We start from the raw sequence: 16,277 nt of genomic DNA, 5'->3' as shown, positions 1-16,277 counted from the left end.
GGCCCCTCCCCCATGCATCTCTGCTGGCCCTGCCTGGCCTTTCTGTCCGGGGGCCAGCCTCCTGATGGGAGGCCGCTGCTGCCTGTGTCCCTGGCCCCTGCTCATCTCTGGGCCTTGGGTCTGTAGTGACACTGCACCTTAGACCCGGTGCCCTGGGCCGCCTCCCCACCACGCCCCATCTCTTCCCCAGGGCACCCTTGATCACTGGATTCGGCCCAGGCCTTTCCCTGATCCTCTACCCCTCACCCCCTGGGATCCTACTGGGCTCTTGACCCCACTGAGGCCTGTTCATGTCCCTGAAAATGTCATGTCCAAAGGCCAGCTGAGTGCCACCTCCTCCAGGAAGCCTCCCGGATCACTCCTCTGAGTACAGTGTGAGACCTGGGGCATCCTCTTGCCTGTCTGCATTCTCCGCTCCCCTGGCAGCTCTGATGTCCCAGCAAGAGTCTGGGCCCCGGGGCGTGGGGCTGGCCTTGCCTGGGGGCTACATCCCCAGCGGGTGCTGTGTCAGCCCTCGAGGGCTCAGGTGCCCCCGGGCCTCGCACAGCTGGGTGGGAAAGAGCCTGGTAACAGAGAACCCACAGACAGCGCGGACACACACACACACACACACACACACACACACACACACACACACACACAGGCACATGCTCTGCTGGCCGGCAGCAGAGCCTCACGGGGACAGACCAGGCCTCAGGCTCTCGGGGGCTGCTCTGGGAGTCTGATGCCTCCCTCAGAGCCAGGAGACAGGACCACTCCATCGTGGGCTCACCTGGGGGCTGGTGTGTACAAGAGAAGGGGGCTCCCCCCTGTTTCTGCCTGGCCCCAGCCAGGGACAGCTGCAGTCAGGAATGGCAGCTGGGCTCGCGGAAACAGCGGTGGTTTCAATTTTCCTTCCTTTGGCTTGGGCGAGGAGTGGAGACAGGGTAATGGGTTTACCATGAGGCTGACATTGGAATGGTTCGGGGAGGCCCCTGCCAGGCCCTGTGTGCTCTGAGGCCGGGTGGGGGCCCCCCCTGCTCCTGATAGAAGCTCTGTGGTGGCGACAGTGGGAGAAGGGGTGCGAGGAACGCTGGGGAGGCCGGTCTGCTCTGTCTCCGCAGGGAGGCAGCTTGGACTGTGTGAGACCCCAGACCACAAATGGACCTCCTGCTCTGGGCTGGGCTCTGGAGGTCAACGGTTGGAAACCGCCAGGCAGATCCACGTGCCACTTGCAGGGGCGGGGTGGCATGGGATGGCTTTGGGGCTTAGGAGCCTTGAGCCCACGAAGGCAGATTAAAGAGAAGCTTGAGAGTGGCCTCCTTCTAGTACCTTCTGGGCCATGCTGTCTGCAGTGGGGGCCAGCAGGTGCACACTGACCACTGCCCTGTCCTTGCAGCCCTGTGCCCCTTGCTGCTCTGGGTGGCTCCTTTCCCCCACTCCAAGCCTGGTCCCAGCCCCTCCCAGGCCACCCATCTCCACCCTCTCCCTGCATTAGCTGGGATGGTCTCCACCTGTGCATGGACCAGCACTTTTGCGGGGGACACGCCCTTACCTTCCAGTGTCCATGGCCCACCCCATCATCCCATCCAGACCCCAGGCCAGGTCCCCTTACCAATGCGTGTGCCCAGGGCAGGGGTGGGATGAGAGGACCAAGAATCTCACACTTGCTTTTAAATGTCATGGCCGGAAGTGATGCCTGTGCCCTCTGCTCATGTGGCCACACCCGCCTTCTCCCGCCTTCCGTGGGAGCGGGGAAGAGTGAGCTGCAGGTGTCCGTGAGGGCAGAGCCCAGGGCCCGGTGCCCCCCGGCCACTCGTTCAGGGTCCATCTGCCCACCTAGGAGCACCCCTGGCCTGGCACACAGAGCACACACAGGTAGTTGTGGGCGGTGGTGATCGCCGCTCCACCTGGGTGCCTGCTGGGCCTGTAACCTTCTCCCTGCAACATGGCCACCTCGGTCAGGACTATGGGCCGTGGCTCCCGGTAGCTTCTCTGAGTGTCACTCCTTTCTCTCATACCCTCAACCCCCCGCCACCAGCCAAGGGCTTAGCTCCTTCCCCCTGTTTCATGCCAGGTGCTGGGTCTGTGATGCCATCCCCAGGGGCCTGGCTAGGTGGGAGATTGCCCGCTGAGGAGGTAGACTGGGCTGGGCACTGGGCTGCCTGGGGCCTTGGCCCCCTTGGGCCCCACTGGCAGCCCCCTCACCCCATGCCTGAGCCCCTAGGAACCTGGGTGAAGGCAGCCCCCACTATGCCCACAGCCTCTCTGGCTCCCACACCCAGCCCAGCTTCGCCCAACACTAGCTCTGCATTCAGAGGCCAGGGCAGCGTGGACAGCCCGGCATCATCTCCCTCTCAGGGAGGTAGAGGCACGTGTCCAGGCGCCTGAGCCGCAAGGCTGGAGGGGGGCCTTGTGGAGCGGGTGTCGGAGGTGAGCACTGAGGGACAGACACACACAGCAGTTGGGGGTGTTGGCTGGACCTCGTCCACTTCCAGGCTCTGGTTTTGCCTGAAGTTCCGGAGTCAGGGCCCAGCCCCAAGGGGGAGCAGTGACATTTGGGGGTGGCACTGGCCCTCGATCTGGCCTGGGTCCTGGCAGGAGCCTGGTGGCCGCCCAGCTTGGAGAGGGGAGAAGCTGGAGCCAGCCGCTGGGGGCTGGGAGAGCCTTCTGCTGACACACACACATTCCCAGGCACAGACGCCGGCTGCGTTTCCACATCAGGAAAGCATTTCCCAAACAGCTTCCAGACCCCACATTCTCCGGCTGGGACGTGCTCGGTGGCGGCACTGAGTAGGGGAGGGGGTGTTGTGGGTGCAGCCTGGGCCTGGGAGGCGCTCTCTACCGGTGGGCTGCTGCCCCCCACGGCCACGCCCGGGCTCCTCCCTAGCCTAGCAGGAGGGACGGCCCAGAGCCCTCCGCACCCCAGAGCTTCAGCTGGGGCTCATTTATACTCCAGCTCTTCCAGGTTGTGGGGACCTGGACGGACGTCTCAGTTGGGTGGGGCGATGCCCCCGTACCCCAGAGCCATGTCCTGCCTGTGGTGGGCACACACATCGTTGTTGCATAAAAAACTAAATGAATGAGCCAATGAAGGGGTGTCGTAGAGGAGGGTGGGCAGGGGTAGGGGGGTCCAGCCTAGGGTGGGCCGGCCAGCTGGGGAGGCTTTGCAGAGGTGACCTCTGAGTTGGTGTCTTTGAAGGATGCATCGGAGGTCATGGTCTGTTGGGCGGGAGGAAGGGTGAGTGTCTAGACTGCCAGGGAAGGCTCGTTCAGGGAAGCCGAGGCCACCAGAGGACGGCCAGAGCCAGGGTGCGAAGCCGGAGCTGCCTAGAAACTCTTTGTCCAGGCCCCAGGGATGCCCCCTTGGAGAGTTGCAGCACTGAGCCCTGCCCGACAGTCTGCCTGGCGCCTGCCATGGCCTGGGGAGGGTGATGAGCAGGAGAGACCCTGTGCCCAACCAGAGGGGCGCCTGTGGGTGCCTGCCCGAGCCATTCCCCTGGAGGAACCCGAAGGAGGTGGCCCAGTGAGGACAGGATTTGGGGGAGAGTCAGACCTGGTTCCCCTGGGCCGCACTTCTCTTCCCTGCATGACCCTGGGGAAGTCATTTCTCCTCTGGAAACTGGCTTAGCGAAACCCCAGGAGAATGTCCCAGGAGCCGTGGGCAGAAGGCAGGACCCAGGGCCGCTGGGGGGCCCCCACACTGGGGTTCCAGCTGGGCAGAATGAGGGTTTAATCATGGCCTGTATGTGAGGGCAGAGGGGAGGTGGGCGGGTGGGCATGGGGCAGCAGATGAGGAGGAGAGGAGCAGAAGCGGGGGACTCCCGGCTACGGGATAGGAGGAGCCTGTGTAGGGCCAGGGTGGTCTGTGTGGAGGACCAGAGGGTTGGATGCAGCCTTCTGGAGAGGGGCAGCCTTCTGGAGAGGGGCAGCCTCCCTGCTGCCTGTCAGATGAGGGTGTCTGATGTGAGTGACCCTGAGGGTGAGATGGGGATGTGATACCAGGAGGCTCCCATAGCTCTTGGGGGTTTTGGGGCAGAAAAGACAATTTCCTTTGCCTGAACTTGTTGTCAGGAAGCTTCCCGAAGGCCTCGCTGCGCTGTGACAGCTGTTCCCTGGAGGCTCGCCCTGCTCTGTTGGCTGCCCTCCTCTGCCTGGATCCCACGGGCACCGTCGCGGTGACACACCTGGCCCTGGTTCTCCTTCCCGAGTCATGTGTCTCATTGCTTCAGGGCCCCTGAGCTGGTCTCATTCAGGCCTCTGCCCATGCACAGATGAGGAAACTGAGGCCAGAGATGCCCCGGGATGTGGCCATGCCATACAGCCCTTCAGTGGGCCAGGAGCTGCCTCTGTGGCCCCAGTCCTGCACTGGGTACTGGGCACACGGGCTGTGGTAGCCCAGCCCTCACCCTGGATGGACGCGGGATTTGGAGTCCAGATGAATGGAAGGGGTGATGGCAGCCCCAAGGGGAATGGAGGGGCTGGAGTGGTGGCCCCCAGATGGCTCTGGTGGGGTGCTGAGGTGGGGGTATGGAGGTGATGGCTATCAAGGGAGAGGGCCAGGGCTCCGGTCCCTGGCTGGCTTCCAGGATGTCTCCGGACCATGGCTGTGTCCACCATGGCTTAGGAGGTGGACAGTTCCCAGGACGTCCCCCGCCCTCTGGGAATCAGCTCTGGACACTGTCTCTGCCATGGGTCTCTGCGTGGCCTTGGGGTGTCTGCTGGAGCAAAGGGCCGGGAAGGGGCATGGTCAGGCCTCCAGACTCGGCCTCCCACTCCCACGTTTGTTGACTTTTATGGATCCTCAGTCAAGCGCCTTTCCCACAGGAGGGAGGTGCTAGTGTTACAGATGGGGAAACTGAGGCACAGAGTGTTTCCACAGCTCGCCTGGGGCCTCAGTTCTTACTAGCAAAGCTGGGGCTGTCCAACAGAAACAGAATGTGAGCCACACACGCAAGCCATACATGCTGTCTCACAGTTTCTCAGGGCCACGTCAGAAAAGCAAAAACAAATAGGTGAAATTGATTTTAATAGTATATTTTATTTAACATAATAGGTGCAAATATGATCCTTTTCAGCATTGCAGTCCATATAAAAATGGCTCACTGGGTAGTTCTCTTCTATTCTTTCTTGCTAAGAACATACTGACTGAGAAGGTGACATGTGTGACGCTAGCACGCAGGTCCACTGGGACAAGCCACGGTGCATGGCTCGGTGGCCTTTGGGGCTTGTGGGCTCCGGCTGGCCGTAGACTCCGAGTGCCTGACCTTCCCTGCTTGGGGCCTCGCGCAGCGGCTCCTGGGCTCCTCCCTCCTCCTCGAGACAGCACGAGGCAGGAGCCCTTTCCCAGGGTGGGCAAGACTTGGGGGACAGCATGGGATCCTGAGGGTGCGGCTGGTGCCTCCTGCTTCCTGTGGGCTTCTTCCTCCTCCCAAGACCCCGGAGCCTGGAGGGTGTCAGAGTGGGGCCTGCCTGAGCTGGGAGACAGCATCCCTTCAAGGAAGGGCCTCTTGAGGAACCTTCCCCAGATGGGGTGCTGATGGAGGACCCCAGCCCCGTCGCCTGTTGGTGAGGGTGACTGGAGTCGGAGGTGCAGGGATTCTGTTGCCCAGGCTCCCGCCGAGTACTGGGCCCCATCCTGTAGCAGGCGGAGAGGGACAGAGACCAGAGAGAGCTCGCTCGCAGGGTGGCCGGTCGTGCACCTCCTGGAGGATGGATGCTGCCTCCGCAGCCCGTGCCCTTGCAGGCCTGGCCTCTGGTGTCTTCCCCTGCACCCCTCTCAAGCCTGGCCCCTACCTCCATGGAAACTGCTGGGCTGAGGCCCTGTTGGGCTGTGGCTGCGGAGGGCGGGACCCTCGAGCTTCTGTTGGCACTAACTGGTGAGTTGTTGGCAATGAGTTGCACATTACGGTCATAAATGATGTTGCCCTGCGTGGAAGGTGCCTTCAAACAGGCCCGTCAGCCTGTCTATCCGTGCGATTTAGAGGCTCCTCATGGCAAGGGCTCAGAGGCTGATGGGAGGGGCTCCCCAGGAGGCCCCGCAGACAGGCAGGGCCCAGGCAGGCCCATTTCTGCAGAGTGTTGGGGGCCAAGGGGGCGGGCTGGCCTCTGGATGGCAGACAGGACGGGGCAAGGTGAGACAGGCTGGGACTGGGTGGGGCCTCTTCTTTCCCACGCGCTCAAGGATGGCCCCTCAGCCCTTGCTCCCAGGTGCCCTGGATCAGCAGAGACTGTCTCTGCCACATCTTAGCACTGGGCAGGCTTCTGAGGGGTGGGTCTCGGCCAGCAGGTGGGCCCCTGGCTGTAGTGGAGAGTGGAGAGAAGGTGGAGGCTCTGCCGGGATGGGCCGCCTGCTTCCCTGAGTTGCCGGGGCTGGAGTTCTGCTCAATTGAATTTGACCTGAGGACAGCATCTTAGTCTGTCTGGGCCTCAGTTTCCTCACCTCTAAAATGGGGACAGTAGCCCTCCCCTGCAGGGAATGGTGAGGATGGCACTGCATCCCCAGAACCCAGGGCCTGGCACAGCGGCCGCAGCTGAGGTTGGCAGTCCTTCTTCCCCACAGCTCTACCCGTGGCTATGCTCCTGACCTAGGCTTGCCCACATACAGGGCCTGCTGGCCCAGGGAGCATGCACCCTCCTCCTTCCTGACAGCTGGAAGGTATCCCCAAGCTTTCTGTCTCTGCAGTGGCCCCAGTCATGTGGCTTTGTGCCCACCGCTCACCTATTGTCCTCTGGGAGGAGACACAGGCTGCATCTCTGGGAACAGGCTGAGCTCCAGGGACACTTCCACTGCATTTCGGAGGGAGATTTTCGGGCCTTCCTGGAAAGGCCGGGAACAGTGTGGGCGGGCGCCCAGTCCTTCTGTGGACCCTCACCGCCAGTGCTGGAGGTGGTGCTGGGCTGGTCCCAGGCAGGGATCACTGCTGAGGGTCATTGAGCACCACAGCTTGCTGGTCACAGCTCTTCCATCTCCATGGAGGCTAGGAGTGGGAGCCCAGTGACCCCCGACCAAGGATAGGTGCGAGAAGGGGCTCAGAGAGGATGGGGGGCTCTGGGGACTCTGATCCAAGCCGGAATCACAGCCCTGGCTCTCCTGCAGAGGTTAAGTGCTTGACGAGGCTCTAATCTGTGGTTCCTTCTGCTGCCGACCCTGGGAGGACTGCCTCCCCCGGGCTATGCCCTCGAGGAGCGTGGGGACCCAGGGCTCTGGGGTTGGAAGCACCTCCGTGGCCTTTGCAGCCTGACACCTGGGCACTGCTGGCCACCCTGCAGGCAAGTTCTCCCTGCTCTCTGTCCGTCACCACCTGCTGCAGGGATGCCAGCTTTCCCTCGCCCAGGCTCCCTCCAAGTATGGGGCCCTGGGCCAGGGGAGGACAGGACAGTGCAGGCACTGGACGTGGGGACTGGGGGTGTCTCAGCCCATGTTTCCACATCGGTGCTGCAGCTTCAAACCAGTTCCCCATCTTCCCCACCCTTGTCAGAGTTCAGCCCCACCAGCCGCCTCTGCAGGCCCCCCTCCCCCGCCCCGCGGCCCCCCTCCCCCGCCCCGCGGCCCGGCCAGGACGGCTCCCTTTGCTGCTTTGGCTTCTTTTCCGTGTTGGCTCCAAGAACACACATGTTTGTGCATGTGTGTGCCTGTGCGTATGTCCGTGCGTGTCTGTGTACCTCCTGTGTGCATGTTTGCACACGTGAGTCTGTGTGCCTGTGTCTGTGGGTCACATGTGGATGTCTGCGTTTGTGCCTAGGTCCCTATCTGCGTCCGGGTCCGGGAGCGCGCACGCTGGAATGCGCGGGGCGGGCGGGCCGGCGCGGCCCCCTGGGGGAGGTGGGGCGGGGCTCGGGGCGGGGCCGGGGGCGGCTCCCTCGGTTGTCTGCGGACTTGGCCTTTACCTGCGGGGCGGAGGGAAAGCTGAGAACTTAAAGGCGAGGGGCGGGGCGCGCCCGGCCCAGAGCGGCTCCCGGGCGGCGCCGAGCGGAGCGGATCCCGGGGCTGGGATTGCGCGCCCGCCCGGAACCCAGAACCAGCCCGAGCCGCCTGCCCCGTCGCCCGGCCGCCGGCTTAGGGCGCAGCGCGGTTGGTCCTCGCCCCCTCCCGCCCGCCGGCCTACCAGGCCATGGGGGCGTCCCGGGACCGCGGGCTGGCCGCGCTCTGGTGCCTTGGGCTCCTGGGGGGCCTGGCGCGCGTCGCGGGCACGCACTACCGCTACCTCTGGAGGGGCTGCTACCCATGTCACCTGGGCCAGGCCGGCTACCCCGTGAGCGCCGGTGACCAGAGGCCAGGTGGGCGCCGGGCGAGCCTGGGCAGGGCGGGCGGGGCCAGGGCGCTCCCCGGCGCGCTCCCTTTGTTTCCTGTTTTTAAAGTTTGCGCCAGGGCGCTGCCTGCTAGGCTGGAGGGAGCAGGGCGGGGCAGTGCCCGGCAGGCGCGCCTGCTTCTGGGACAGGGTCCGTGGGCGCTGAGGAGTCGGTCACCCCCGTCCCCTCTCAGGGCTGTCGGCAGAGGCTACTAACAGCCAGGTCCCTTGACCGGAGGAAAGAAAAACATCCCCTGACTTTGTCTGTGGGAGCAGGGTTCCCCGCTCCCCATGGCACTGGCGACTCTGCGGGTCAAGTGAAAAGGCAGGCTGGAGACAAAGGCCCTTTGAGACCCCCGGAGCTGAGTCTCCGGGGTCTCCAGAGCTCAGCCCCTTTGGGGTCCTGTCTGTGGATGTGGCAGGTGCCGTTCTTCCTGGAGCCCCACAGGCATGGGCAGCTGAGAACCCTGGTGGCCTGGGAAGCAGGTTACAGCCCTGCTCTCGTTCCGTCCTGCCTCTCTCTGCAGCTGGGATCTGGCGCCTGCACTAGGCCCGCCTCCCTCCAGGTGGTTGCTTTGAACTCCCTGGGATCCACAGAGCTTGGAGCTGGGCACCCTCGGGAATTGGAGGAGGGGGTGGAATTGGAGGAGGGAGTGTGGGGTTTGCGGCTCCCAGTGAGTCGTCAGCCGCATCACCCGGGGGTAGGCAGTGGCTGGCGGGGGGCCCTGAAATGGCTCCTTAGAGACGTCACCCCTCCTTAGCTGTTTCGAGTGCCAGGCCGAGCTTCTGCCTCTCTCCTGCGTGAAGGACTAAGCACCACGCCCTCAGTGTGGCAAAGGCTTCCTTCATTCCCTGGCTTGGTCACTTGGCCTAGGGCAGCCCAGGCTCCATCTTCGCTGGGTAGGCAGCCTTCCGGCTGGGCGGCTCAGCCAAGGCCAGGTCCACCCACAGTGCCACTAAATGCCTTGCGACTGCGAAGCATCCAAGGCCTCTGGCTGGGTGTCGCTGGGCGCTCGGGAGCTGGGAGCCCCTGTCCTGGTCTAAAGCGTGCTCCAGCTTTTGGGGGAGAGAGGAGAAGGGCCCATAGGTAATGGTGTGTGCTCCCTGGGGGTGAGGACCCCGTGGCAAGTGTGGGGACAAAGCAGGGCTTGGAACTTGATAACTGCCCTGAGCGGAGCTTTCTGGCAGGGGCCCAGAGCCCTCCAAGTTTCCTATAAGTCCAGGTGGGCTTCGGAAGGGGCGCGTCTTGGGTGGTTTCTGCAGAGGCAGCTGGTTCGAGGCAGCCCAGCCATGCCTGTCCACCTGCCTGTGTAGTCCTGGGCTGGGAGCTGTGGGACGTGGGTGGTGGTCGCTGGGGGCCCCATGGGCTCCCTGAGGCTCCTCCACCTCCCAGCCTGGTAGACACTGCAGGTCTCGCCAGGCTCCTGGTGAACCAGCCCGTGTTGGCACAGCCGTGTCGCTGTGTGCCAGTGTGCTGACAGTTCTCTTGTGAGGCTGCCAAAGTCCATAGTCTCGTATCTAGCCGAGGGCAGCAGCAGGATCCTGGCCCAGCTGTTCCTTAAAATAGCCGCTCTCTGAGCCCACTCGTCTCTCACCAGATGGCTCCCCCCAGGTTCATGTCGCAGCTGTCTGGGGCCTCTCTGGCCTGCCCCCTGCCCCGTGTGGGGCTTGGCCTGGGGCTGGACAGGGACAGTGGATTTGCCTCCAGGGTGGGCCGTTGTCCCTGGAATGAGCAGGTTTTGTCGCCTGACTCATAGGGGCCTCCAAGCTCCTTTCGGCCTTTGCTGGGGCCCCGCTAACCTCAGGCTCAGGCCCCCACACTGGCCTCTGAGTCTCGGGGGCCAGTGCTTCCTGGGGGCCCTGGTCCCACTACAGGGCTCAGTGGGCAGCATGGTCTGTGTGTAGGCAGCACGGGATGGTCCTGGATCACAGGTCTGCAAAGGAGGGAACCCAGGGAGCAAGCTTCTGCAGGGCACGCGGCTCCCGTGAACCTGGCTGTGTGACCAGCCCCACAGAGGCACAGGAGTCGGGGGGCCGGTCTGGCAGAGCTGGCACTGGGAGCCCCGATTTCCAGCCCAGATGGTCCGAGTGTCTGTGACTCCTGAGACGACAGTGGTATCTTCTGCAGTTGTGCCCCGTGGGTGCGGTAACAAATAACCACACACTCAGCACTTAGGACAGCACGGATTTATTACCTGACAGTCCTGCGAGGCCCAGTCCAAAGTGGGCTAAAATCAAGGCGTGGGCAGGGCTGTGCTCCTTCTGGAGGCTCTAGGGGACAGTCTGTCTCTTGCCCCTTTCAGCTTTATAGAGGCCGCCTGCATTCCTGGTCTTGTGGCCCCTCCTCCATCCTCAAAGCCTATAGCACAGCACCTGCCAATCCCTGCCTCCCTCCGACCTCTGCTTCCACGCTCACATCTCCTCCTCCCCGCCCTCTGACCCTCCTGCCTCCCTCTTATAAGGACCCTGTGATCATGTTGGGCCCACCTGGATATGCCAGGATAACCTCCCATCCAGATCCTCAACTCAGTCCCATCTGCAAAGGTAGGTCCCTCTGCCATATGAGGGTCTGTGGATGAGGATGTGGACATGTCTGGGGGACATTCGTTATTCAGCTGACCACATTGTCCTGAAAGGCCACTGCGCCTACGGCTCTTCAGATCACAGCCGCAGCCAGGGTCACCGGCTCAGCACCTGCGGGGTCCTTGGAGCCGTCTGGGAATAGCTCAGCCCTGCCATCACGTGGGGTGCCTTGGGAGTGGGGCAGAGAGGGTTTGGGTGACGCGTTCCTACCTTGCTTTCTGAGTGAAAATCATTTCTATTAAGGGGATTTGCTCAGTTCAAAGGGGCTGAGATCTCAGAGTGGAGGGGACCCCAGCAGGAGGTTGTCTGGCCCAGTGCCTGTCCCTGTAGGCCTCTGTCGTCCAAGTGGGAGGCCCCAAATCCTTCACCCTTGAGCTGGCTCGCTGTGTCCAGAAGCTGATCCTGGCTGACAGCAAATAGCAGGCACCGGAAGCCTGGGTGCGCTTCAGCACCCCCACCCAGGCCCTGTCTCCCCCACCACAGCCCCCTGCCACTGCCAGATGGTGCTGCTGGGGTGAGAAGGGCTTGGCCTAGCCGACCTGGGCCTGTGCATTTTCAGAGGGAGCGTGGAATTTCTGGAGGGACTAGTGGCTGAGAGAGGTGGAGCCGAACCCGGCTGGGATGCTGGAGTCCCAGCGTTCCTGTCCACGTAGCAGGAGGACACTTACATCGTTACTTTTCAGAGACCCTCTCGGGGGTCTTGGATGGAGGGATCTGAGCTCAGGGGGAAAGGGTCTCCTTCCTGAGCCCTTCAGGTGGGTGCCACCCACACTGCCCTGCCCAGTGGGCATGAGTCTGCCCCCAGCTGACTCTCATTGGAGGGCACCAGGTCCCTCTGTCCCTCCAGCTTCTTTGGGGCGCTGTTGGGGGCCCGTTAACCCTTTGCTTTCCAGCATCTTCCCGCAAACCATCCTGGCCTTTGTGAAGGTTGTGGTGGCGACTTCATGGTGCAGGTGGAGAGGGGCTCCTGGTCTCATTTGCAGCCCCCTCTGGGAGGCAGCCTCAGGGCTTAGGGACCCTCGGGGTCTCCCCAGAGTGGGTGTGTCTTGTGCCTCCAGTAGATGGCCCTGGAGGTCCCAGGCAGAGACCCTGGCCTCCTGGGGCTGTTCGTGTCATCTCTGGGTTGCAGGCACATTCTCAGAGCGTGGATGGGCAGCAGGGTTTCCATAGGTGGCAGGCACAGCCTGGTGGGTGGGTACCATCCGTTGACTCAGGCTTGGAGACAGCTATGAAGAGCTTCTTGGTGTGTGCTGGCGCTGGCCGCTTGCACCTGTCAACAGTGCTCTGACGCCAGAGTTTTAGGATGGAGCCTGGAAGGTGGGCATTTTCACAGGGACCGTGGGTGGGAACCGGAGGGTGGTGGGAAGGCCTTGGTGGTCACAGCCGATCATGGACCTGGCGATTGTTAAGCAGAATTAGGGAGACCTTGGCTCTATGCAGCCCCTGGAAGCGAGGGATCAGGCCAGCCATGTTTCCCACACGGTCGAGGACTTGTCTTTTGAAATCATAATATTTTCTCCCAGAGAGGCCAAGCCCAGTGGGAGTCTGCTGGTGGCATTTTGAGCTAAATGTTGCCTTCCCTCTCGAGGCAAGGTCAGCAGGCGGGGCCTCCATTGTCACCCTGGCCAGAGGGCCCCAGATGCTCGGCTCATAGCTTTTGGAAGAGCACCTGTGTATCTTTCTCCCCATGGTGACTCTTTGGCGGCTCTCAGCGGCCCCTCCCTCCCTTCAGATCTGTGAACCCGGCTGCAGGGTGGGTGAGGTTGTCGGATAAAAGGTGTCACCTGGGCTGGGCACGGTGGCTCAGGCCTGTAATCTCGGCACTTTGGGAGGCCAAGGCGGGTGGATCACCTGAGGTCAGGAGTTGGAGACCAGCCTGGCCAACATGGCGAAACCCTGTCTCTATTAAAAATACAAAAATTAGCCGAGCGTGGTGGCGGGTGCCTGTAATCCCAGCTACTAAGGAGGCTGAGGCAGGGAGAACCGCTTGAACCTGGGAGGTGGAGGTTGCAATGAGCCGAGGTTGCACCATTGCACTCCAGCCTGGGCGACAGAGCGAGACTGTCTCAAAAAAAAAAAAAAAAAAATAGGTGTCACCTGGCCTGAGTAGCAGGCGTGGACTGCGGTGGCTGGGGCAATGCCCATGTCTGCCCTGGCCTGGGTACCGGGCTCTTGCCCTCCTCTCCTGGCACCTCCTATAGTTGGTCTATGTTGTCCATGTGGCCCGTGTGGTCTCTCCCTCATGTTAGCCTTGGCCTCTCTGGCCGGGGCACTACTGGCACTTCCAAAGCTTCCGCCATGCCCAGAGGCCCCGGACCCCTAGGAGAGTCCTCCTGGAGTGCTTCTGGAAGTCTCTCTGGTGGGGGTCATGGCGTGTTCTCTGGGCAGTGCTGAGGCTGCACAGCTCCGTCTGTCCCCACCACTGGCTTCTCCTCTGAGAGCCCCTGTGTGCCGGGTGCTCTGGCCAGCTGGCAGGGGCCCAGCAGCTGCAGGGCTTCTGACCCAGGTTAGCCCAGGGGCTGCACACACAGGTGTCCAGGAAGCCTGTGGCCTCCTGCCTGTCTGCTCTGTTCTGTTTGCCTCGATCGCTGCCTGGATTCCCCCGAGGCCCAGCTTGGCGAGGGGGGCCTGGAGGGTGGCATGAGAGGCTGGGCAGCCCGAAGCCATCTGCACATCTGTGCTTTCCCGCTGCGTTCCTGCAGAGGGTGGTGATGGGCCTGGGTGCAGCCCCCTGGGTCTCCAGCCCTGGCAGGGTCTCAGGGGAAGGATGCCTGGAGCACCACCGGCTCTCAGCTCATGGTGCATCCCGGGGGTCCTGCTGGGCCTCTGGGCTTCCAGCCAGCACTTTCCCTGTGGCCTGTGCCACGGGGCTGGGGACAGGAGCAGGTAGGCCCAGGTGTCCTGTGATGGGAGGCGTCCTCTCAAAAGTGGACCTGCCCTTGGATCCCTCCCTGCTCTCTTCAGCCACGCTTGTTCAGGGGGCTTGGTAAGCAGTGGGAGGGACAAGGGTCCTGCGAGGTGTCTGTGGCCTTGGACTGCTGCTCTGCCCCCTTGGCTGGTCCCCAGGCTGTGGAAGTCCAGGCAGCGCAGATGCGGGGAGAGGCCTCAGGACCAGGCTGCTCTCGACCCCTTCCTGCTCTCCTACTCCCCTCTACCGCCTTTGAGTGGGGCATCAGCTAAGTCTGGAACCTGAGGACACGTGGTTCTAAACCAAGCTGGCCCTTGGGCAGGGAGGGTCTGACGGGGTCTGGGCTGCTCTGGGATGGCGGGTGGCACTTCATGGGGGAGGGTGCCGGCACAGCGAAGGCTTCTGTCCTGGGATATGGTGGCCTTCTGGGTCCTTGCACGGGGAGCCTGTGGGTGTGGGGGGCCCAGGCTGACCCCAGCTGCATTGGTTTCCCAGGGCTGCTGGAACAAACACCGCAAACGGGGTGGCTACAAACTATAGAAGTTTCTTCTGTCGCCATCTGGAGGCCAGGATTCTGAACCCAAGGTGTCCGCGGGGCCACGCTCCCTATGAACCCATAGAGAGGACCTTCCTGGCCTCTTCCTTCTGGCCGTCCTTAGCCCGTAGCCTCGTCACCACAATCTGCCTGGTCTCCACATGGCCCTCTCTGTGTGTCTCTTGTTGGGATAGGCGCATTGGATTTAGGGCTCACCCTCATCCGGAACAATCTCATCTCGAGCCTGAACTTAGGACAGCTGCCAAGACCCTGTTTCCAGACAAGGCCTCACTGGAAGGCTCCAGATGGCCATGAACTGCGGGGACACTCTTGAAGCCAGCACGCCCTCCCCTTTCTCAGGCTTCCCCCCACAGCCTGGGCATGGCCGTCTCAAAAGCTGTCAGTTTCTCTTTTTGGGCTTGTGGGTCCTGGTGGAGCGGTTGACACCGCCCAGGAAGCACTTTGTAGATTTGGACTTAAGAAAACCGCGTGCGCTCCCGGTTCAGTCTTGAAAGGCGCTAGAGGCCCAGCCTGTCCTTGGAGCCCTCTGCTACTCCCCACCTTCTGGCCGGCCCTCGAGGCGGTGGCTCTTCCTTCTCGAGCAGGTGTCCAAGGTGGAAGCACAGACCCTGTCTCTTCTGCTGCGTCTCCGGCAGATGTGGGTGAGGGGCTCATGGGTGGTGCCCTCGAGGCACGGGAGGGACCTGGGTCTGGGCCCCCGGCACCTGGGGGGCTGTGTTGGCAAAGCAGGAGGGCACAGGTGCCCAGCTGCTGATCCTTCCCCATTCCTGCTCAGATGTGGACGAATGCCGAACCCACAACGGTGGCTGCCAGCACCGGTGCGTGAACACCCCAGGCTCCTACCTCTGTGAGTGCAAGCCCGGCTTCCGGCTCCACACTGACAGCAGGACCTGCCTGGGTGAGTGTCGCCTGGAGACCCTGCCTGGGCTCCTGGCTTCAGCCATCCCTACCCTCTGGGGTGTGCCCAGGCCTGGCCTGAGAGGGTGGCTGTGGACATGGAGAGGCAGAGGCCGCTCTGGCAGTGGCTCCTTCCTGCGGAGCATGGCTCTATGGAATCCTGCCCGCACCTTGCCCCAGGCTCAGGCCGGTAAAAGGACTGAATGCCAAGTTGCCAGGTCCCCAGGACCCTGGCTGCAGACCCTCTGCAGCCACACTAAGCCCCGCTGTGATGCTGAGGCCCCTCCCAGTGGACAGGGGAGTGAGCCCGTGGGTGGAGATCCTATTAAAGATTCTCTACAACAGAAGCTGCCGTGGTTATCAGCAGGGACCTGGCCTGGTTGTGATGTCCCCTACATTTGATTTGAGGGAGACCTGGGTCACGTGCTACGTGGTGGGGGACGCTGGCCGAGGAGGCCTGGTCAGGGCAGGGGCTGCGTGAGGACACCCTTCGCCCGCAGAGCCAGGCTTTGTGGGCCCAGGTGATCCCTGCCCAGCTTGGGGAGCCTGGAGGGTGTGGGCTGTGGCAGGTAGGGTAGGGGTGACGAAGAAGCGGGACCCTGTCCCTCAGCTTCCTCTGCGGGGTCTCTTGGCTATTGGAATGGGCTGGAGGAGGTGTCGCGGACACGGACTGTGGCCGCAGGGAGGGAGGGTTAGAGGGAAGCAGGGGAGGTGCCAGGCCTCTAGGAACCGGCACAGGGCTGAGCAGGGGGCTGGAGCCCAGGAATCTGGGGTGAAGAGTAAGTAGCCAGTCAGCCACCCTCACCCTTCGGCACCCCTGCTCCTGGCTGGCTCTGGGCACAGGCGCCCCAAGCAAGGACGGGACTGACCCTCTTGCTGGTCTCTGTCTGGGAGGCATGGGGGGTCATTCTCTGGGTGATGGGCGTCAGGACGCCCCTTCTTCCTGCCTTGGAGGCCCGGAGCAGGGCCCAAGCCGGCTCTGAGCAGCCTCCCTCCCGGTCCTGCCTGTGATGTGGCAGAGCAGCTCGCCAGCCCTGGGGCCCCCCCCCCGGCACACACTCAC

At 62.9% G+C, this 16,277-nt stretch overlaps 1 protein-coding gene across 23 annotated transcripts in view, besides 4 other annotated features; it reads left to right on the top strand.

Moving 5' to 3' along the window:
- The window catches only part of MEGF6 (multiple EGF like domains 6), a 136,836-nt gene that overhangs the window by 85,448 nt on the left and 35,111 nt on the right, over positions 1 to 16,277 (top strand). For 9 of the 23 annotated variants that reach the window (XM_017000533.3, XM_011540886.3, XM_047448232.1 and 6 more), the window contains one exon: positions 15,093 to 15,215. The exons of 4 other annotated variants lie outside the window; for them this stretch is intronic. In XM_017000533.3, coding sequence (XP_016856022.1) covers positions 15,093 to 15,215 — 123 coding nt within the window. Of the gene's footprint in view, positions 1 to 7,927; positions 8,260 to 14,256; positions 14,955 to 15,092; positions 15,216 to 16,277 lie in introns of those variants that run through there. 10 more of the 23 variants (XM_047448255.1, XM_047448245.1, XM_047448238.1 and 7 more) reach the window with 3 other exon arrangements.
- Positions 5,252 to 5,938: an enhancer, noted in NCBI's record as "H3K4me1 hESC enhancer chr1:3449965-3450651 (GRCh37/hg19 assembly coordinates)". NCBI's record gives its function as "activates a minimal SCP1, AML or CMV promoter by ChIP-STARR-seq in primed H9 embryonic stem cells {active_cell/tissue: H9 hESC(primed)}" and the evidence as "EXISTENCE:reporter gene assay evidence [ECO:0000049][PMID:30033119]".
- Positions 8,001 to 8,686: an enhancer, noted in NCBI's record as "H3K27ac-H3K4me1 hESC enhancer chr1:3447217-3447902 (GRCh37/hg19 assembly coordinates)". NCBI's record gives its function as "activates a minimal SCP1, AML or CMV promoter by ChIP-STARR-seq in primed H9 embryonic stem cells {active_cell/tissue: H9 hESC(primed)}" and the evidence as "EXISTENCE:reporter gene assay evidence [ECO:0000049][PMID:30033119]".
- Positions 9,375 to 10,062: an enhancer, noted in NCBI's record as "H3K4me1 hESC enhancer chr1:3445841-3446528 (GRCh37/hg19 assembly coordinates)". NCBI's record gives its function as "activates a minimal SCP1, AML or CMV promoter by ChIP-STARR-seq in primed H9 embryonic stem cells {active_cell/tissue: H9 hESC(primed)}" and the evidence as "EXISTENCE:reporter gene assay evidence [ECO:0000049][PMID:30033119]".
- Positions 15,641 to 16,180: an enhancer, noted in NCBI's record as "H3K4me1 hESC enhancer chr1:3439723-3440262 (GRCh37/hg19 assembly coordinates)". NCBI's record gives its function as "activates a minimal SCP1, AML or CMV promoter by ChIP-STARR-seq in naive H9 embryonic stem cells {active_cell/tissue: H9 hESC(naive)}" and the evidence as "EXISTENCE:reporter gene assay evidence [ECO:0000049][PMID:30033119]".

Source organism: Homo sapiens, chromosome 1 (assembly GCF_000001405.40).
Source record: "Homo sapiens chromosome 1, GRCh38.p14 Primary Assembly".
In the NCBI taxonomy this organism is placed as follows: domain Eukaryota; kingdom Metazoa; phylum Chordata; class Mammalia; order Primates; family Hominidae; genus Homo; species Homo sapiens.
This window is presented reverse-complemented; position numbering and strand designations above follow the sequence as displayed.